Genomic DNA, 23,587 nt, shown 5'->3' on the forward strand with positions numbered 1-23,587 from the left:
CTGGTGTGGTATTTATTCTGTTCTCAGTAATCTTTCAATATTACATTGATGATGTTGTCTCCACATTTCATCATAATCAGGATGTAGATGCAAATGATATTTTACTGTAATGAAGATACAGATGCCGATTAGAGCAAAAATGAAAATTTCATCTTGGCATCTCTGATCTCTAATTCTCAGTGGCTTCCTCCTACTGTTGATGTCTATCCCTAACTGTGGGTATTTAGAGGTCTCAGCTGGAATTTCACCTCCCAGTGCTAACATGTGGATCAACAATCAAAGCTCGCTAGATGATTTTATCCTATTGGGATTTTCTGACCGTCCCTGGCTAGAGACACCCCTCTGTAATCTTTCTGGTGGCCTACATCTTTTCCCTATTTGGAAATATCTCCATTATCCTAGTTTCCCATCTGGATCCCCAGCTTGACAGTCCCATGTACTTTTTTGTCTCTAATCTATCCTTTCTGGACCTCTGCTATACCACCAGCACTGTCCCACAGATGCTGGTCAACCTCCGGGGACCAGAAAAGACCATTAGCTATGGGGGTTGTGTTGCCCAACTCTATATATTTTTGGCCCTGGGTTCTACTGAATGCATACTTCTAGCCATCATGGCCTTTGACCGTTACGCTGCCATTTGCAAGCCCCTTCACTACCCAGTCATCATGAACCATAGACGCTGTATCCACATGGCTGCTGGCACTTGGATCAGTGGCTTTGCTAACTCCCTTGTCCAGTCCACTCTCACAGTGGTGGCCCCAAGATGTGGACAGAGGGTGTTGGACCATTTCTTCTGTGAAGTTCCAGCCCTTTTGAAACTAGCCTGTATTGATATTCGTGTGAATGAAATGGAGCTCAATGTACTAGGCGCTTTGCTTCTCCTGATGCCACTCACCCTCATCCTGGGCACTTATGTGTTCATTGCTCAGGCAGTAATGAGAATCTGCTCTGCTGAAAGTCGCTGGAAGGCTTTCAATACCTGTGCCTCACATTTGCTGGTGGTCTCCCTCTTCTACTTCACAGCCATCAGTATGTATGTCCAGCCTCCCTCTAGCTATTCTCATGACCGGGGGAAGATCATGGCTCTCTTTTATGGCATTGTCACACCCACCCTCAACCCATTCATCTACACATTGAGAAACAAGGATGTGAAAGCTGCCCTGAGAAGGTCACTGACTAAAGAGTTTTGGATTAAGACAAGATGATATCTGAAAAGAAGTCCTAAGAAGCGAGGATAGATGTGTTTGACTTTCAAAAAGATGTTGGACATGGAATTGATGAGGGAACAGTATCAAGTGACACAAAGTTTACAAGTGGAACAAGACTAAGAAAAAAACAATTAACTCTTGGTAAAATCTACATAGCATTTTTTCACTTACGAGACTATCTGCTTTACAATATTGGATTCCATCAAGTCAGTCTTTTTTCTCCCTATTCCTAATGACTAGCTAATCTAGTTAAAGTAAGGGAAAATGGTATAATAGCTAGAGAAAAAGATACTGAGAAAGTTTAGGAAATATATTTAGCATAAATTGTTTATAAATGAATCCCAATTAAATTAGAAATGATCCCAACTCTTAGAAAAACATGCCAGTACTATCGTGAGGTAATTTTGATCAACATGTATTGCCACCATTTAGCCATCTTCTAACATTCGATGTCCAATTATATCACCCTCAAATGCTTTTGTAAGGTCTCACAGGCAAGTAAAATCAAGAGACAATTAGTTCAAAAACATTAAGATGGAATTATGGAAAGAGAAATTAATGAACAAATTTAGAGGTGATGATTTTAAATATATTTTTTTTGCCATGAATTCTTTTAAATACAAATTTTTTTTGCCATAAATGTTTTGCCTTAGTCAATCTTATGCTCTTGTGGTACACAACAATGAGGCCTAGGTCAATGCAAATAGAACTTACTCTGGGGGGAAAGATGAACAGTGAGATGCTTTGGATAGTGATCAGCAGGGGAAAAACCTGAGGTGGAAAAAATTCTAATTTAGGGACACAAACTCAGTGGGAATTTACATGTTTTGACAAGGCAGCTTTCTTCACCACTTGACTGGGTAATTTAGTCCTATTTCAGTGTGGGGGTTTGAGAATACCATGTGGAATTCAAAACTTTGGTTGATCTATTATCTTTATTTAGAAAAAAAAGACTTTTATAGCCTTTTGCTATAAACTGCCTCACAAACCTATGAGCCGAAGAAACCAAGACAAAATAGAGTGAGTTCACCAAAAAATCCACATCATTAAAAGAACAGTGCAAAGCTCTATTTCCTGTACTGTGAGCATGTCCACTTTCTGTGGCTCCCGGTGGTGAGACAGATGAGAAGCTGGAACACAGATAAAAGGTTTTTGGGAACACTTTTGAAGGCCTGTGGCTATATAAGAGAAAGTGAGTTCATTTCCTTAATTCTAGTATAATCTGGAAAAGGATCCTAGACATTATGCATTTTTTTGATCACAGTATTTTTCCCAACCCATGGTTCATTTATACATGGAGTCTGCTATTGGCATGAAATAAAATACATCCTAATATGTATTATGAAAAAAACGCTTATTGTATTTATTTATTCTATTAAAGCAGTATATTTCTCAGAGGTTGAATGTTGGGGGTTTTTGTGGTCATTTAATAAAAATGTTAACATATTCTTGAGTTTGTTTGTTTAACTTAGAAGTATAAATAGAACTCAAAATAATTGAACATTGAAACTACTGTGTTGCATTGGAATAAACATGGATATATTATGTTGAGAAAATCACATGTATTTTTAAATTAAAATATGGGTGCTTGGAGAAATGTTTTGCTGATGTGGGTGGCTGCTCAAGATATGTCCCCCAAGCCCTAGAAATATATTTTGATTCACTTTCATTATTACAGATATGCCAGAGAAAAATTTTATCTTTAAACAGTTTTAAATTTTTGACTTTATAAAGGTATAATATTTCTGCATGTATGCTGCCTGAGATTTTGGAAGGCTATATATTTAAATATATCATTAAATAAATTATAGTACCTGTACTATCAAGCAAGCAAATCAAAATAAGGCAATGTTGAACAAGTTTAATAAGGAAATATTTTAAGTATTCCTGAAAGTATTACCAAAACATTAGTAAAGTTATTAAATATTAAAAGTTACTAAATATTACATCAATTATGCAAATAATTGGCAAGCCATTAAATAGAAATAGGCCCTGTGCTATAGGAGCAGTAGGAAAACATATTCAATAAGGTAAAAATATTTATATCAGAACAAAGTCTACTATCATATTTATTCTAGGAGAAGTGGATAATTCCCAACACTTTTAGAAATAATAGAAATTTTCTGACTCTCATCACAGTTATATATTGTTGGTTTGGATTAACTACCCAACATGATTTAAAAATAATATTAGTAAATTATTAAATAAAAATATTTATTTGTTATATCTTATAAAACAACATAAACAGCAACATTTAAATGAGCTGTTGCTATGATGAGGTTTATCTTATGATGAAAATGCATTCCTTTATTTGGTAAATATTTATTGATGGCAACTATGTACAAGTCACTGAAATAAAATTAGACATTTACCTTTACATCAAGGAATACAACTTTTGAAAAAAACTGAGAAATAAAAAAGGCAGAACTGAGCATCCAGACTAAGGCAGAATTTGTCATAAAAAGTGTCAGAAAAGATAATGCTAAACATAGAAAAATCTTTCACGACTTGCAGAATGATGTGATTTGGCTCTGTGTCCCCATCCAAATCTCATCTCGATTGTAATCCCCATATGTTGAGGGAGGGAGGTGACTGGATCGTGGGGGTGGTTTCTCCTATTCTGGTCTCGTGACAGTGAGTTACTTTTCATGAGATCTGATGGTTTTACAAGCCTCTGGCATTTCCCCTGCTTGCACTTCTCTCTCCTGCCACCATGTGAAGAAGGTCAGTGCTTCCTCTTCACCTTCCACCATGATTGTAAGTTTCTTGAGGCCTCCCCAGCCATGTGGAACTGTGAGTCAATTAAACCTCTTTTCTTTACAAATTACCCAGTCTTGGGTATTTCCTTATAGCAGTATGAAAATGGACTAATACACAGAGAGAGGGCCCTGCTTGAGTTTAGCTGAGCGCTGATTTGCATGTGTGTGAGGAAGCTATCCAAGAATGAGGAAAGAACCACTTAATGGATTAAGGTAAATAGTGCCCAATGCTTATGCAAAGGCTGGGAATTTTGTGGGTTCTCAAGCTATTTATGTGCCAGAATGAAAACCTAAGAATTCCTGAGGCATTGAGTTTAGCAATCAAAAGTGTCTTGCTTCAAGAATTTCAATAATTAGCTCTAAACTAAACACTGTTCTGGTTTTACCTAACAAATCTTCAAAACAAGTGACTAAAGTATCAAACTGTATCCAAGTAACTTAGTAACACTCCAGAATAAACTCAAGGGTATTTATAGGATTACAGATATACCCAGTAAAAGAAAATTTTCCAATGAAAATTTACTAAGCATGAAAAAAAGCAGGAAAATATGATGTAAGGAGAAAAATCAATAAATCAAACCTGACTCAGAACTGACACATATGTTAGAATGATTCAAGTTATGGCATTAAAACAATTATACTGTTTACCATATGTTCAAAAATTTAGAGACGAGGAAGATACTTTAAAAAATCAAACTTCTAGAGATGAAAACCACAACGTTTAAATATACATAATACCTAAAAGCACTGAATGTAATTCATAGTACACTAAACATTGAGAAGTCCCATGATCTGCAGTTGGCATGCTGGAGTTCCTGGGCCTTGGGAGGAGGCTCTGTGCAGGCCTCCCAGGGCCAGTCCCCTGGGGTCTGCTCTATACAGGTCACCCGAGGCGTTAGGGTGACCTCGGAGCCTGCCACTCCCGACAGCCAGACCCAGGGCCTGCGTTCTGCTCTATCCAGGGCCTCCCTGAAAGCCCCTGCCCGACTAGGCACAGCTGCAGCCGCCAAAGTCGGTGCAGTATACCCGGGGCTCCTGTGTGCTGGGAGCAGGCAGGAGCTCTGCCCACCCTGGGCGCGGCTGCAGCCACCCACGTCAGGGTTGTAGACTTGGGCCTCCATGTGCTCTTGAGGGCTGGGAGCAGGCAGGAGCCCCACACCCCCAAGCACAGCTGCAGCTGTCCAAATGGAGACAGTAGATGTGGGCCTCCGTGTGCTCTTGAGAGCCAGGGAAGGCCCCCTTTGCCATTGCAGGCTCAGAGGTGCCTGCTCCTACTGCCTGGTCTCTTCCCACTCTCTGCAACTGATCCAATCTAGGAGTAGGTGGAGCTGAGCCCAGGCACTGTCACAACCCTGCCAGGTATATGCATGATCGAGCCCTGCCACCTCAGCCCCCTCTGGATGTTGGGCCAGACAAGAGTGGATGCGGGCAAAGCGTTGGCCTGCAGGTGCCCCTTGGCACCATGAAAGGCGTCAGGAGGCAGACGGGCTCCTAGGTGGAAGGGAGTGGGTCCCTGTAAGGCCCCATCCTCAGGCCAGGAAGAGCCTGAAGGCTGGGAGTCAGGCTGCCACACCGGTGGACTGGAGTGGGGTCTTGTGGTGCCTTTTTCTGCCCACCCATGGCCACGGATGGACCACTCCATATGCACTTCCTCCCCTCTGAGGTCCATAAAAGCCCCAGGATCAGCAATAGCATGGTAGAGGACAACTGAGAGATGACGAGATGACCAGCTGCAGAGAGTAGCTATCCTCTCTGCTGAGAGCTGGGAAGTCAATGGGGACCTGCCTGCAGAGAGGAGCCACCTCTCCAAACACACCCAGAATGATGTTCGACCAAATATAGGCCTGTCTCATTTTATTGTGCTTCACTTTATTGCACCTGAAGGTTTGTGGCAACCTTGCAAGAGCAAATCTATCAGTATCATTTTTCCAACGGCATGTGCTCCCTTCATATCTCTATGTGACGTTTTGGTAATTCTCACAATATTTCAGACTTTTTCGTTATTATTGTATCGTTATTGTCAGGCCTCTGAGCCCAAGCTAAGCCATCGCATCCCCTGTGACCTGCATGTATATGCCCAGATGGCCTGAAGTAACTGAAGAATCACAAAATAAGTGAAAATGGCCTGTTCCTGCCTTAACTGATGACATTCCACCACAAAAGAAGTGAAAATGGCCGGTCCTTGCCTTAACTGATGACATTACCTTGTGAAATTCCTTTTCCTGGCTCATCCTGGCTCAAAAAACCTCCCCCACTGAGCACCTTGTGACCCCCACTCCTGCCCGCTAGAGAACAACCCCCCTTTGACTAATTTTCCTTTACCTACCCAAATCTTATAATATGGCCCCACCCCTATCTCCCTTAGCTGACTCTCTTTTCGGACTCAGCCCGCCTGCACCCAGGTGATTAAAAAGCTTTATTGCTCACACAAAGCCTGTTTGGTGATCTCTTCACACGGACGCAGGTGAAAGTTATGGTGACGTGTGATCAGTGATCTTTGATGTTACTATTGTAATTGTTTTAGGGAACCACAAACTGCCCATGTAAGTCAGTGAACTTAATTGATAAATGATGTATGTTTTGATTGCTCCACCCACTGGCTGTTCCACCATCTCTCCCTCTCTTCAGGCCTCTCTATTTTCTAAGACACAACAATATTGAAATGAGACCAATTAATAATCCTACAATGGCCTTTAAGTATTCAAGTGAAAGGAAGAGTCACATGTCTCTTATTTAAATCAAAAGCTAGAAATGATTAAGCTTAGTGAAGAAGGCCTATCAAAAGCCAAGACAGGCCAGAAGCTAGGGCTTTTGCACCAGTTAGCCAAGTTGTGAATGTAAAGAAAAGTTATTGAAAAAAATTAAAATGCGCTACTCCAGTAAACACATAAATAAGATAGCAAAACAGTCTTATTGCTGATATGGAGAAAATTTTTTGTGGTCTGGATAGAAAATTTTAAAAAGCTAGGGAAAAAAAGAAAAATAAATCCATGTCAGTAGAAGCCAGAAAATAATAAAGAAAATATTTAATAATTGAAAGTAATAAAATAGAAAATAATAGATAAATTAATTTTTGTATTTTTTGTAGAGACAGGGTCTCACCATGTTGCCCAGGCTGGTCTTGAACTCATGTGCTCTAGTGATCTGCCTGCCTTGGCCTCCCAAAGTGTTGGGATTGCAGGCATGAGCCACCTCGCCCTGCCTGAGTTAAACTTCTAGTGGAAAACCCCTTTTATATAAGCCACAAGCAGTTTCAGACTGTCCAATGTTATTATTACTAACATAAATTAATGTAGGCTTTCTTTTATCCTAGAGGAGTTGTGGAAAAACATCCTCATGGCATGAATTATGAGTCAGAATATTAAAGGCATAGACACAGGAGTTGGAAATTGAAAGTGTAGATGAAAAAAAAAGAAAAAGAATTTTACAATATCAAAATTAGATTTTTTCACTGAATTCAAAAAGGTCTCCACAAAACTTTTGTAAGGGATTCAAACCCTTCCTTTAAAAAATAAATAAATAAATATTTCTTAATATCAGTCTGTAGTTACTGTATCATCAGGAACAGGTTTTGAAAATTATTGTTTATGCTGAGAAAACAACTATCTGAATATAACTAATAACCATTATTACTAGATTGATTCTAGGAACATAGATAAATTTAAATTTATTTTTAAAAGACAAACATTTTTAATATTTGAAAATATAGGTCACCCTGAGCTTTCTAGTAATTGGAATGAATGACAATTGCTTTTGTTTGCTAACACATCCATTTGTCTACAATTTTCTTAATGTATTTAATTCTGAAATGATTCATTCAGTTTCGGTCTGATGAAGAGAGTAAAGTGAAAATATTACTCATCAATTGAAATATTACTATAGGGTCTTTTTGTAACTGATTTCTTTGTCATTGGATGCTCTTAGCATGTATTGATTAGATTTAATCAATCTTAAAAAAAAGAAAAACACACATCTCTCAAATTTTAATGTGCCTTTATCTTGGAAAGTATTTTATTAAAGTTTATCCTATTTGAACTATCCCACAGTTTTCTCTAAATTATCCATTATTGTTGTATGTTGAAATTTTTGGATTATTTGTCTACTAACCACCATGTATAATATTGAATCCACCTACCATCTGTATCCAAAGCTTTTACAAAAACATTGATCAGATCACAATCAAAGTCAATGTTAAAATAGAAAATTCTTTCCTCAAAATGAAAAAAACCTGAGTATTTTTTAATCATTCATTAATTGTCTCTTATTGTTCATAAACAGCCTTATGAAAACGTGTGATCCTTACTGAGACACCATATTGTGGTACTTAATGTGGTACTATATTTGTCACTGGAGATCAAAATAAAGTTTATTGGTCTGCAACATTTACAATTCAGTTTCTTATATTTATATATATAATTCATATATATAATACACATAATATAAATCATATACATTATATATATATATATACACACACACATGGGAACTTAGAGCTATTTTTAAACATTTGCCAAGTAGAATATACAATATATTAAATTTTTGATATTAAAAGTTTTAAAAAATTTTCTTTCAATGCTAAGAAGGTAGATTTTATGTTAAGTGTCCTTATCATGATTTCAAAAATGCCTTTTCCAAGGCATTCAATTAGGAAAAGAGGAAGTCAAATTGTCCCTCTTTGCAGATGATATGATTGTATATCTAGAAAACCCCATCGTCTCAGCCCAAAATCTCCTTAAGCTGATAGGCAACTTCAGCAAAGTCTGAGGATAAAAAATCAATGTGCAAAAATCACAAGCATTCTTATACACCGATAACAGACAGAGAGCCAAATCATGAGTGAACTCCCATTCACAATTGCTTCTAAGAGAATAAAAACCTAGGAATCCAACTTACAAGGGATGTGAAGGACCTCTTCAAGGAGAACTACAAACCACTGCTCAATGAAATAAAAGAGGATACAAACAAATGGAAGAACATTCCATACTCATGGGTAGGAAGAATCAATATCGTGAAAATGGCCATACTGCCCAAGGTAATTTATAGATTCAATGCCATCCCCATCAAGCTACCAATGACTTTCTTCACAGAGTTGGAAAAAACTACTTTAAAGTTCATATGGAACCAAAAAAGAGCCTGCATTGCCAAGTCAATCCTAAGCCAAAAGAACAAAGCTGGAGGCATCACACTACCTGACTTCAAACTATACTACAAGGCTACAGTAACCAAAATAGCATGGTACTGGTACCAAAACAGATATAGACCAATGGAACAGAACAGAGGCCTCAGAAATAATGCCACATATCTACCAGTATCTGATCTTTGACAAACCTGACAAAAACAAGCAATGGGGAAAGGATTCTCTATTTAATAAATGGTGCTGGGAAAACTGGCTAGCCATATGTAGAAAGCTGAAACTGGATCCCCTCCTTACACCTTATACAAAAATTAATTCAAGATGGATTAAAGACTTCAATGTTAGACCTAAAACCAGAAAAACCCTAGAACAAAACCTAGGCAATACCATTCAGGACATAGGCATGGGCAAGGACTTCATGTCTAAAACACCAAAAGCAATGGCAACAAAAGCCAAAATTGATAAATGGAATCTAATTAAACTAAAGAGCTTCTGCACAGCAAAAGAAACCACCATCAGAGTGAACAGGCAACCTACAGAATGGGAGAAAATTTTTGCAACCTACTCATCTGACAAAGGGCTAATATCCAGAATCTACAATGAACTCAAACAAATTTACAAGAAAAAAACAACCCCATCAAAAAGTGGGCAAAGGATATGAACAGACACTTCTCAAAAGAAGACATTTATGGAGCCAAAAAACACATGAAAAAATGCTCATCATCACTGGCCATCAGAGAAATGCAAATCAAAACCACAATGAGATACCATCTCACACCAGTTAGAATGGCAATCATTAAAAAGTCAGGAAATAACAGGTGCTGGAGAGGATATGGAGAAACAGGAACACTTTTACACTGTTGGTGGGACTGTAAACTAGTTCAACCATTGTGGAAGTCAGTGTGGCAACTCCTCAGGGATCTAGAACTAGAAATACCATTTGACCCAGCCATCCCATTACTGGGTATATACCCAAAGGATTATAAATCATGCTGCTAGAAAGACACATGCACACATATGTTTATTGTGGCGCTATTCACAATAGCAAAGAGTTGGAACCAACCCAAATGTCCAACAATGATAGACTGGATTAAGAAAATGTGGCACATATACACCATGGAATACTATGCAGCCATAAAAAAATGATGAGTTCATGTCCTTTGTAGGGACATGGATGAAGCTGGAAACCATCATTCTCAGCAAACTATCACAAAGGACAAAAACCCAAACATCGCATGTTCTCACTCATAGGTGGGAATTGAACAATGAGATCACATGGACACAGGAAGGGGAACATCACACTCTGGGGCCTGTTGTGGGGTGGGGGGAGTGGGGAGGGATAGCATTAGGAGATATACCTAATGCTAAATGACTAGTTAATGGGTGCAGCACACCAACATGGCACATGTATACATATGTAACAAACCTGCACGTTGTGCACATGTATCCTAAAATTTAAAGTATAATTTAAAAAAATGCCTTTTCCATAATCACACATATTTAAGAATGGAATTCATTCACTTTTGAGTAAAAATTATTCATCTGGGGGATTGTTAAAATGAGGGCTGGATTATCAGTTTCAGAGTAATTTTAGAAAAGACACCATGTTTGAAGAAAGTTTAGCTCTCTAAGTCATGGTTTTATTCTGAGATTCTTTGATTCTACTATTATGTATGGGTTTATGTAAATAATTACTAAGTATTCCTTTTTTTTTTTACATAAGGCCAGTGCAATCATGCATGATTTTATTGGTGACCAGTTAAAATGAAACTGTTAATTAATGAAAAAAATCCTTTTTACTAGAAAAACCTGTGAACCTGTGTTACAGAAAACGAGTTATGTATAATATTCATTTTTTTAACCTGAAATGCATCGACTACAAGAGTTAGCTAAACCAAGATAATAATTAACTACTTCCCACTGAGGCAATTCCCTGAGGGAGAGGTCCATGAAATCCCCTGCTTTGAACTCATAGTTTTTATCTGAAACACCAACTTTCCTGCACAGGATTTTTGTCCCCAGTGCCTGGACAGCACTGGCTTCATTTCAAATACCCCTTAGTTAATAGGAAATTTAAATGTCCCTGGGCAGTTACATCCTGTTTGGTCCTATATAAAAGCGTTTCAGTCCTTTCCTTACATGGAAATTTCACTGACTGAAACACCAGCTTGATTCTAGAACAAAGATGCTCAGTCTCAGGATCAATTGAGATTTGTTTCTACCGAGAGATCCACTCTGGTGAGTAAAACTTCTTCAAATTTTATGGAATTTATCCAACATTTATGTAGCACCTGCTTAGTGCCAGCGACTATGCGAGTCTTCAAAGTTATAACTCTAAATAAGATACATAATTTCTCACTCCTTAACTAAGAACAGTTTAAATAAGCTGCGATATCTATGCAAATAAGGTAGTATAAATTATAAAAAAGTATATAAAGCATAAAAAAGTTAGTATAAATTATAAGGAATCTTAAATGAATGCAATCTGGGCTCCAAAGAGTGACAATTCTTCTTGGGTCGACAGTTAAACTCAGGTGAATTATAAATGGAAAGAGACAATGTAGCTGTGTTAAAAGATAGTTAAGTATTTGCCAAACAAATGAGGGGAGATTTTTTTTCTTTTTTTTTTCTTTTTTTTTTTTTTTTTTGAGACGAGTCTCGCTCTGTCACCCAGGCTGGAGTGCAGTGGCGCGACCTTGGCTCACTGTAACCTCCGCCTCCTGGGTTCAAACAATTCTCCTGCCTCAGCCTCCCTAGTAGCTGGGATTACAGGTGCCCACCACCGTGCCCGGCTAATTTTTGTATTTTTAGTAGAGATGGGGTTTCGCCATTTTGGCCAGGCTGGTTTTGAACTCCTGACCTCAGGTGATCTGCCCACCTCAGCCTCCCAAAGTGCTGGGATTACAGGTGTGAGCAACCGTGCTCAGCCATGAGGGGCAATTCTAATGGGAGGACTTCCAGACAGGAGGGATAGTGTGATTTAAGAAAAGAAACACAGCATGGTGATACAACCTGATTGATTTATTAAGAGTAATTAAGTCAGTCGCCATTATTAGACATGGAGATTGGCATGGGGTTAGAGAAGTCACAATGATAGATAATACTGGAATGGCAGTCAGGAAGCATTGTAAAGATATTGTTTGCCATCCTAAGCTTTTTGGGCATCATTGCATAATCAAGTCAATAAAGAGCTAAAAGCTAAATTAATGTTACAAGATGTGATCTGCATCACCATTTGTCCTGGCAACAGCATTGAAGTTGGATTAGAAATACATAAAACTGAAGAATAAAATATTGCCAGAGATAATGAAGGTTTGAACTAATCTGTACGTGTGACAGCAAGATGTAATAACTACAACAGATAGTAAGCAAATAAAATTTTGGTGTTTGATTGGATATACAGATTAAAGCAAAGTTGTGCCATTCTTTGAAATAGGTCACAGTGACAGGGAGATGTCTGGGAGAAGAGATGAGTCCTTATGGGAAAGACCCATTCAGGGACAGTGATGTGCCAACCGTGAAGCAGGATATGAGGACCTGCAACCCAGGGGACCTGCAACCCAGAAGACCTATGGTAGTGCTCGAAACAGCAGACTATTATTTTCTATTGTGTAGGAAAATAGTTAATCTGTCTTCTTTAAAAGGCACAGGAATATTTTTGAGTAAACAAAAGTACAGAAAGAAAGTGTCAGGACAAATTTTTGGAAACCATCAAATTTCAATAAATGTTAAAAGAAGACCCAGATAACGAGACTAAGAAAAAATATTCAGAGAGGAAATAGAAAACCAGAACTAAGTGGCATAGAGCCAATGGAAGTCAGCTGTTTTAGAAGAAAGAACTGTATAATAGTGTCATATATTTGAGAAACAAAATTTAAAATAAAAACAAAATAGAAAGAGTGCATTGAATTTACCGTTGTGATAGTTATTTGTGGATTTGCTGGAGCTGTTTGTGAGGACTCATGAAGCAAGAATGATTAACATGGTTCAAGAATTGAACCAAATGTGCCAGGGCACAGAATGATACCCTATTCTGCTCATAAAGCATGGCTGTAAAGAGAAGGGACATTATAAGTAAGTCCTAAGTGTGGAGTGAAGACTTTTCTTTTTCTTTAAAATGGATGAGTCTTAAGATTATCTCTATCTATCTATCTATCTATCTATCTATCTATCTATCTATCTATCATCTATCTATCTCTAATCTATCATCTATCAACAGAGCATAGTGAAACAATCTGGTTCATTAAGAGTAATCTCAGTAAATCAACATTATTAGAATTTTTAGACATGGAGTTTGTGTTGATTTTATACACACACATATACAGACACACACACACACATAAAATGTGCACTATTATGAAAGAGAGAGAGAGAGCAAGTGCATACTGTGGCAAAGATGCCCTTTGCGATAGAGCAAGGTTGAGTATAGGGTTGGTCACTGACTTGGAAAGGAAAAAAGAGCTCTTTCTCTGCCTTTGAAACCCTAGAGTGGGTGGAATTAAATCATGTTAGAGATCATTTCGTTTATATACAGGTAGGAAACTGAGGGGCTTAACATATAATTACCTATGTTTTCTCATTGAAGTTATTGGCAATGCTACCTCCCAGGAAATAGAGGAAAATAGTGAAGAAGAGACACAGGATGCTAACTCTTTAGAGCAGCTACTGGAATGAATTAGAGTTTACCTACATAACATATTTGCACATGTACCACTGAACCTAAAAGAGAACTACTTTCAAAAAAATTGAGGGTTTCAACATATGAGAGGTAAAAAACGGAAAAGTTTAGAAATGTTTTGTAGGATAAAATTTGCATACAAGTGGTTAGTGAAGACAGAAAAAAATGCTTGGGGGAAACAAATGACATTGAAAGAATCATTATACTCTCCACCAAAAAATGTTTAGTTTTATTATAAATAAAGTATTTAATGCAGGTATGACTTGGAAGGATTGAACACAGGTTTTATATGTTCTCGCAGTATCATCCTTAATCCTAAGAGTATCTCCACACGTATATGATTCCCTTCCTTCTTATTTGATAAGTGATGAATTAATCAATACAATTTGGAACTAGTGAAATTAAAATGATGAAATTTTCCATTTATTAATCAGATATAAAAATTATTATCTATGTCTTCAAAGAAAATAAAAATGAAAATAGGTTGGTGGGAGTTGTTGAGAGGAGAATATGGTGTGTGCATTCAAGTTTTTTCTTACGATTTTTCTCCTCCTTCCCTCTATGGAGAAACCTTAATGGGGAGGCTAAATGATAGAGGTTTTTCTTAGATTACATTAACAATGTGTATTAGAAGTGGTAAGTAACACGATGCTTTTGATTTTCAAGCCAGAGACAGTAAGTTTTAAAATATAAGTGAATTGCTTTCATCTATTCACATTTTATTTTAAATTCCAAAACTACCATCCAATATTTGGAGCAAGTTAAGCCAGGCATTAAGATTGGCAGCACTGGGGATTAAGCTATATCTTATGGAGGACCAGGAAAACTGTAGGAGCAAGAAAGCTAGAGAAACTTTGAAGAAAGTAACCCCTGTTTTCCTCTGATTCCTACTGCCATGAAGCAGGGGATGTGACCATCAGTGAGGGATTAAGGGCCCTTCCAGCCCTGAGACTGTTCCTTGTGGAAAAAAAAAATTTCCTAAAAATTAGTTTCAGTCAGTTCTCAAAATAAATTACAGCAAAATCAAAAAGATCTTGGTTTAAGTGATTTTTAACCTTTTCCTACAGCTTAGGGATTAATAAATGAAACAAACTACAATATCAGATGCAGTTACTTCAAAATCAGATGCATTAACTCATGTAACTTAGCCATTAAGTTTTTGTCTATATAGAACTGAAATCAATTATGTAGATATCCCGTTAAATAAGTATTTACTTAGAACCTATATGTTAGATGCCTTTGGTCAAGGGTGAAGAAATGGACAGAAATGATGAAGGAATAGTCTTTGTGCAGAAGAAACTCAGTGAAAATGATACTGATTGACCTTTCAACAAATGCACAGATTTAAAAAGAAAAAAAAGAGGCAAAAATTAGTTAGCAGAGTGATTCTGATACACAAAATAATTCTATGATGGTGTTGATTCTATAATAATAGCACATTTAAAATGAAATAGGAAAAGTTACATCATTTAATCCTCCTAACAATTGTTACATCTGGTATAGATTTTTTTTTTGTTTGGTTGGTTATTTTAAGAAATGGGCTCCCACTATCTAATATATTTCAAGTCCTAGAAAGAAATATATATATATATTTTTTCATTCAGGAACTCACAATGAGACACAGCACTAGAAAGATATATACTCTACTACCTAGCATTCTGCCTATCACATAGATTTTAGAAAATCTCTTTATTTCTTCAAATGGATTTGATTGAAAATGTCCAACCCCAAGTTGTCATAAGAATTTTGAGAATTAAACGTTCTTTGACGGTGAACCTTTGTCACTTAGTTGCAAGATCTCCAAAGCTCAGGATTCAATGCCTGATATCAGTGGCATCTGCATTTTACAATTTTGAGACATTTCATTTTTCAAAATTTCTATGAAAAGTTTATTACAATCAAATGTAATCTTTTTAAAGTGTTAAGAGCTTTTCAAAGGAAAAAATATGACTGTTCTTTGAGCTAACCTCTCTTCTAGATTAGCTTCTGAGCTGTTTCTAGATCTGCCTCTGAGCTGTTTCTAGATCCATTTGCAAGGTGGTATCAATAACTTCATGTTAGCTGGTTAGCAAAAGAAGCTATATAGTGCATCGTTGTAATACTAAGGCATCATATAGAAGATGTAATGAGATTGGTATGCTAGAATCATTTTCATTGACTTTATTGAAGGTAAAGACTTTATCATTTCCATCAATTTCTCCCTCTTTGACAATGCAAACTCTGCTCCAGAAAATGTTTATGACTTGTTGATCACATTCAGGGATTCTATTTCTGAATAATTGCTAAAACGTTTTTGAATTGAATATTAACTAATCGCAATGAAAATAAATTCATCTCATTTCAGTACCTCCTTGCTGAGGAATTGAGTTACTTGACACACAAATATATTAGATGTCATGCATTTTCTTCCTACTGTCTTTGGCTTCCTAAACAGAGTCACACTTGGTATCTTCAGAGAGACTATGGTCAATTTGACTTCAATGAGTGGATTCCTTCTTATGGGGTTTTCTGATGAGCGTAAGCTTCAGATTTTACATGCATTGGTATTTCTGGTGACATACCTGCTGGCCTTGACAGGCAACCTCCTCATTATCACCATCATTACCGTGGACCGTCGTCTCCATTCCCCCATGTATTACTTTTTAAAGCACCTCTCTCTTCTGGACCTCTGCTTCATCTCTGTCACAGTCCCCCAGTCCATTGCAAATTCACTTATGGGCAACGGTTACATTTCTCTTGTTCAGTGCATTCTTCAGGTTTTCTTCTTCATAGCTCTGGCCTCATCAGAAGTGGCCATTCTCACAGTGATGTCTTATGACAGGTACGCAGCAATCTGTCAACCACTTCATTATGAGACTATTATGGATCCCCGTGCCTGTAGGCATGCAGTGATAGCTGTGTGGATTGCTGGGGGCCTCTCTGGGCTCATGCATGCTGCCATTAACTTCTCCATACCTCTCTGTGGGAAGAGAGTCATTCACCAATTCTTCTGTGATGTTCCTCAGATGCTGAAACTAGCCTGTTCTTATGAATTCATTAATGAGATTGCACTGGCTGCATTCACAACGTCTGCAGCATTTATCTGTTTGATCTCCATTGTGCTCTCCTACATTCGCATCTTCTCTACAGTGCTGAGAATCCCATCAGCTGAGGGCCGGACCAAGGTCTTCTCCACCTGCCTACCACACCTATTTGTAGCCACCTTCTTTCTTTCAGCTGCAGGCTTTGAGTTTCTCAGACTGCCTTCTGATTCCTCATCGACTGTGGACCTTGTATTCTCCGTATTCTATACTGTGATACCTCCAACACTCAATCCAGTCATTTATAGCTTACGGAATGATTCCATGAAGGCAGCACTGAGGAAGATGCTGTCAAAGGAAGAGCTTCCTCAGAGAAAAATGTGCTTAAAAGCCATGTTTAAACTCTGAAGAACCATACAAATGAAAGGCATTGTTATTATGTTTCAGATTGGAAGAGAGGTGAATCTTATTTCTACCCAGAATGCTCTTCCAAGCTGTCTATTGTATATATTCCTCTCAAATATAATTCTTTAAAATTTAAGATGTTGTGCTCTAATAATATTAGCTTTCCTTCCTCCCTCCAATTCAAGTGTTATTTTAAGTCATCTTTGGAAAATTTTTCTGAAATGAAGGAGAAAGACAATTAGTTTGGAGTCTGGCCTGTATAATTTAAAACTTGTTATTAACAAATAAGGTTGGAGATAGATGAAGCTAACTGGGTTAATATTATGGTGCATATATGGTATTTCCAGTGGGCCTCCTAGTTTTCTATCCATATTAAGTATTCATATTAAGTTCTTTTACTATTATTACAGTGGTGATTTCAACAATTTATTCAGCCCCTAGTAAGTATCAAGTGCTTTATATATATACATTTTTTTGACTCAAGAAAACAACTCTTCTAGCTATAACATATTGTCCCCATTTTGCCAATAGGAACAATAAATTTAGGAAGGATTAGTTAATTTTCCTGAGATTTCTCAAATAAATGGTAGTTAAGCTCTGATTCAAATTAATATTTGTCTGACTCAAACAATAAGGTCATTTATGTTCCTTACTGATGGCAAATGCATTATTACCCAAATGTGAGTGTGTATGTTTATGTGTGTGTGTGATGTGTATAATCTATAAATATAAGCATATACTACTATAATCTATTAATAAAATTGTCATCACCCTTGTGCATCCCTATTACTGGAGGTATTTATATTAATTCCTTTACTTTTCTGATCTGTACAAGAGTTTGACAAATTGGTTTTACAGAGTTAGGCAGGGGATGCTCCCTAGTTCCATGAAACAGAATATAGATAAACTGCAAATGAAGAGTTCCAACTTATGAATGTGTGAGATAAGGAGGCACAAATCTTGTGAATCTGAATATCTGATTCAATTTTGTGTAATGCTGCAGATTTCTTCAAGAAAGACTCATAATTTACAAGAGTACAAAACTGGACTAGTCCCCTCAGTTTTGAAGTAAATCAAAGTGCATGTTTTAATGACAAAGGGAATAAGCAATTGCTCAGTAATGGGGAATGTTTTTATAGGACTTTTTTGAATTAATGGTTATAATATCTACATATGCATATACCTTAGTAAGTTTTTTTTCTTTAATCTGCCACATGAGATTTTTTCTTTTTTTTATATACTTTAAGCTCTGGGGTACATGTGCAGAACTTGCAGGTTTGTTACGTAGGTATATACATGCCATGGTGGTTTGCTGCACCCATCAACCTGTCAACTACGTTAGGTATTTCTCCTAATGCTATCCCTCCCTTACCCCCTCACCCCCAAACAGGCCCCAGTGTGTGATGTTCCCCTACCTGTGTCCATGTGTTCTCATTGTTCAGCTCCTACTTATGAGTGAGAACATGCAATGTTTAGTTTTATGTTCTTGTGTTAGTTTGCTGAGAATGATGGTTTCCAGCTTCATCCATGTCCCTGCAAAGGACATGAAATCATCTTTTTTATGGCTGCATAGTATTCCATAGTATTCCATGGGTGTATATGTGCCACCTTTTCTTTATCCAGTGTATTATTGATGGGCATTTGGGTTGGTTTCAAGTCTTTGCTATTGTGAACAGTGCCACAATAAACATACGTGTGCATGTGTCTTTATAGTAGAATGATTTATAATCCTTTGGGTATATACCCTGTAAAGGGATTCCTGGGTCAAATGGTATTTTTGGTTCTAGATCCTTGAGGAATCGCCACACTGTTTCCACAATGGTTGAACTAGTTTACAGTCCCACCAACAGTGTAAAAGTGTTCCTGTTTCTCCACGTCCTCTCTAGCATCTGTTGTTTCCTGCCTTTTTAATGATAGCCATTCTAACTGGCATGAGATGGTATCTCATTATGGTTTTGATTCACATTTCTCTGATAACCAGTGATGATGAGCTTTTTTTCATATGTTTGTTGGCCACATAAATGTCTTATTTTAAAAAGTGTCTGTCAGGCCGGGGCATTGGCTCATGCCTGTAATCCCAGCATTTTAGGGGGCCGCAGCAGGCAGATCACGAGGTCAGGAGATTGAGACCATCCTGGCTAACATGGTGAAACTCCATCTCAACTAAAAATACAAACACTTAGCTGGGCATGGTGCCATGAACCTGTAATCCCGGCTACTCAGGAGGCTGAGGCAGGAGAATCGCTTGAACCTGGAGAATCCCAAAAGTGTCTGTTCACATCCTTCGCCCACATTTTGATGGGGTTGTTTGTTTTTTTCTTGTAAATTTGTTTAAATTCTTTGTAGATTCTGGATATTAGCCCTTTGTCAGATGGATAGATTACAAAAATTTTCTCCCATTCTGTAGGTTGCCTATTCACTCTGCTGATGATTTCTTTTCCTGTGCAGAAGCTCTTTAGTTTAATTTGATCCCATTTGTCAATTTTGGCTTTTGTTGTCATTGCTTTTGATGTTTTAGTCATGAAGTCTCTGCCCATGCCTAAATCCTGAATGGTATTGCCTAGGTTTTCTTCTTGGGTTTTTATGGTTTTAGGTCTTACGTTTAAGTCTTTAATCCATCTTGAGTTAATTTTTGTATAAGGTATAAGGAAGGAGTCCAGTTTCAGTTTTCTGCATATGGCTAGCCAGTTTTCTCAACAGCATTTATTAAATAGGGGATTCTTTCCCCATTGCTTGTTTTTGTCAAGTTTGTCAAAGATCAGATGGTTGTAGATGTGTGGCATTATTTCTGAGGCCTCTGTTCTGTTCTGTTGGTCTATATATCTGTTTTGGCACCAGTAACATGCTGTTTTGGTTACTGTAGCTTTGTAGTATACTTTGAAGTCAGGTAGCATGATGCTTCCAGCTTTGTTCTTTTTGCTTAGGATTATCTTGGCTATGTGGGCTCTTGTTTGGTTCCATATGAAATTTAAAGTAGTTTTTTCCTATTCTGTGAAGAAAGTCAATGGTAACTTGATGGGGATAGCATTGAATCTATAAATTACTTTGGGCAGTATGGCCATTTTTCATGATATTTATTCTTCCTACCCATGAGGATGGAATGTTTTTCCATTTGTTTGTGCCCTCTCTCCTTGAGCAGTGGTTTGTAGTTCTCCTTGAAGAGGTCCTTCACATGCCTTGTAAGTTGTATTCCTGGGTATTTTATTCTCTTTGTAGCAGTTATGAATGGGAGTTCACTCATGATTTGGCTCTCTGTTTTTTTTATTATTGGTGTATAGGAATGCTTGTGGTTTTTGCACATTGATTTTGTATCCTGAGACTTTGCTGAAATTGCTTATAAGCTTAAGGAGATTTTGGGCTGAGACGATGGGGTTTTCTAAGTATAGAATCATGTCATCTGCAAACAGAGACAATTTGAATTCCTCTCTTTCTATTTGAATACCTTTTATTTTTTTCTCTTGCCTGATTGCCCTGGCCAGAACTTCCAACATTATGTTGAATAAGAGTGGTGAGAGAGGGCATCCTTGTCTTGTGACAGTTTTCTCAGGGAATGCTTCCAGGTTTTGCCCATTCAGTATGATATTGGCTGTGAGTTTGTCATAGATAGCTTTTATTATTTTGAGATACATTCCATCAATATCTAGTTTATTGAGAGTTTTTAGCATGAAGGGCTGCTGAATTTTGTCGAAGGCCTTTTCTGCATCTATTGAGATAATCATGTGGTTTTTGTCATTGGTTCTGTTTATGTGATAGATTCCATTTATTGATTTGCATATTTGAATCAGCTTTGCATCCCAGGAATGAAGCTGACTTGATCATGGTAGATGAGCTTTTTGATGTGCTGCTGGATTCGGTTTGCCAGTATTTTATTGAGGATTTTCACATCAATGTTCATCAGGGATATTGGCCTGAAATTTTCTTTTTTTGTTGTGTCTCTGCCAGGTTTTGGTATCAGGTTGATGCTGGCCTCATAAAATGAGTTATGGAGGATTCCCTCTTTTTCTATTGTTTGGAATATTTTCAGAAGGAATGGTACCAGCTCCTTTTTGTACTTGCGGTAGAATTCGTCTGTGAATCTGTCTGGTTCTGGGCTTTTCTTGGTTGGTAGGCTATTAACTACTACCTCCATTTCAGAACATGTTATTGGTCTATTCAGGCATTAGACTTCTTCCTGGTTTAGTCTTGGAAGGGTTTATGTGTCCAGGCATTTATCCATTTTTTCTAGATTTTCTAGTTTATTTGCATAGAGATGTTTATAGTATTCCCTGATGGTAGTTTCTATTTCTGTGGGATCAGCAGTGATATGCCATTTATCATTTTTATAGTGTCTATTGATTTTTCTCTCTTGTCTTCTTTATTAGTCTGGCTAGCAGTCTACTTTGTTAATTATTTCAAAAAAACCAGCTCCTGGATTCATTGATTTTTTGAATTTTTTTGTGTGTGTCTCTATCTCCTTCATTTCTGCTCTGATCTTAGTTATTTCTTGTCTTCTGCTAGCTTTTGAATTTGTTTTCTCTTGCTTCTCTAGTTGTTTTAATTGCGATATTAGAGTGTCGATTTTAGATCTTTCCTGCTTTCTCCTGTGGGCATTTAGTGCTATAAATTTCCCTTTAAACACTGCCTTAGCTGTACTCCTGCAGCTAGCTCAGTCTCTGCGCAAACAGCCGCCCAGTTTTGTGCTTGAAACCCAGGACCCCAGTAGCGTAGGCACCCAAGGGAATCTACTGTTCTGTGGTTTGCGAAATCCATGGGAAAAGCGTAGTATCTGGGCTGGAGTGCACTGTTCCTCATGGCTCAGTCCCTCATGGCTTCCCTTGGCTAGGGGAGGGAGTTGTCTGACCCCTTGCGCTTCCCGGGTGAGGCGATGCCCCACCCTGCTTCGGCTAGCCCTCCCTGGGCTGCACCCACTGTCTAACCAGTCCCTGTGAGATTAGTCGGGTATCTCAGTTAGAAATGCAGAAATCATCTGGCTTCTGCATTGATCTCAGTGGGAGCTGCAGACCGAAGCTGTTTCTATTCCACCATCTTTCCAGCCACCCACACTGATTTCTAAAGTAGTTGTTCCATATTATATTCCCTAGATAATCAAGAATTGTTATAAAGGGCTGGGCGTGGTAGCTCACGCCTGTAATCCCAGCACTTTGGGAGGCCGAGGTGGACGGATGACGAGGTCAGGAGATCAAGACCATCTTGGCTACCTTGTCAGGTATTTTGAAAAACTTTTAGCTTTTTAAACACATTCATGGTGATATATATCGATGAGTTTATTTTGTATTGCCCTGTTCAACAAGGTTGAACATCTTTTCATGGACTTATTAGTTATTTGTGTGTCTTCATTTGTGAAGTTTTTGCTCAGACACTTGGCCCATTTTTAAAACAAGTTGTTAATCTTTCTATTATGAAGACATTTACATATGTGTGTATATATGTATATATACTGGATAAAAATCTTTTGTCAGATACACGTATTACAGATGTTTTTTCTAATCTCCTGTGATTGTCTTTTTTTTCCATCAGGTTCTTTTGGAGAGTAAAACTTTAAAAATTTTGATGTAGTTCAATCTATCAACTTTGTGTTTTATAATTCATGTTTGGTGTCCTATCTTCCAAAAATACCTTCTTTAAAATTACAAAGTTTTTTTTCTTTTGAGACAGGGTCTCACTCTGTCACCCAGGCTGGAGTGCAGTGGTGCAATCTTGGCTCACTGCAACCTCCGCCTCCTGGTTCAAGCAATTCTCGTGCCTCAGACTCTCAAGTAGCTGAGATTACAAGTGTGTGCTGCTATGCTGGCTCATTTTCTTTCTGTCTGTCTTTTTTGTTTGTTTGTTTGTATTTTTAATAGAGATGGGATTTCAGTATGTTGGCCAGGCTGGTTTTGAACTCCTCACCTCAAATGATCCACCTGCCTTGGCCTCCTAATATGCTGGGATTACAGGCATGAGCCACCGCGCCCGGCCTAAAATTATAAAGGTATTTTTCTATGTGACCATTTAGAAAATGAATAGTTTTAGCTTCTATATTAATTAAGTCTGTGATCCTTATTGAGTTAATTTTTGAGTGTAGTATAAAGTGAGTGTTAATGATCATTCTTTTTCTATACAGATATATAGTTTTTAGTGTGATTTATTGAAAAGACATTATTTTCCCCCATTGATTTGCCTTAGCACCTTGTCAATATATGGGCTTACTATTCTTTTTCATTGATCTATGTGTTTATTTTTAACTAATACCATACCATACTGATTTCAGCAACTTTATAACGATTTTTTTTTGAGACGGAGTCTTGCTCTGTCGCCCAGGCTGGAGTGCAGTGGCACCATCTCGGCTCACTGCAAGCTCCGCCTCCTGGGTTCACGCCATTCTCCTGCCTCAGCCTCCTAAG

The 23,587-nt window shown here is 37.7% G+C and overlaps 1 protein-coding gene, 1 long non-coding RNA gene and 1 pseudogene across 2 annotated transcripts in view; 2 read left to right on the plus strand and 1 right to left on the minus strand.

Annotated features, from left to right (window-relative positions):
- Positions 1-23,587, minus strand: part of LOC105375005 (uncharacterized) — a 50,372-nt gene that overhangs the window by 6,377 nt on the left and 20,408 nt on the right. The window lies entirely within an intron of this gene.
- On the plus strand, positions 148-1,302 carry OR2B4P (olfactory receptor family 2 subfamily B member 4 pseudogene; annotated as a pseudogene).
- Positions 11,253-22,569, plus strand: OR14J1 (olfactory receptor family 14 subfamily J member 1). The gene is made up of 2 exons (NM_030946.2): positions 11,253-11,339; positions 16,214-22,569. The coding sequence occupies exon 2, from the start codon at positions 16,242-16,244 to the stop codon at positions 17,205-17,207; it is 966 nt and encodes a 321-aa protein (NP_112208.1). The 5' UTR covers positions 11,253-11,339; positions 16,214-16,241; the 3' UTR covers positions 17,208-22,569.

This window comes from Homo sapiens, chromosome 6, assembly GCF_000001405.40.
Source record: "Homo sapiens chromosome 6, GRCh38.p14 Primary Assembly".
In the NCBI taxonomy this organism is placed as follows: domain Eukaryota; kingdom Metazoa; phylum Chordata; class Mammalia; order Primates; family Hominidae; genus Homo; species Homo sapiens.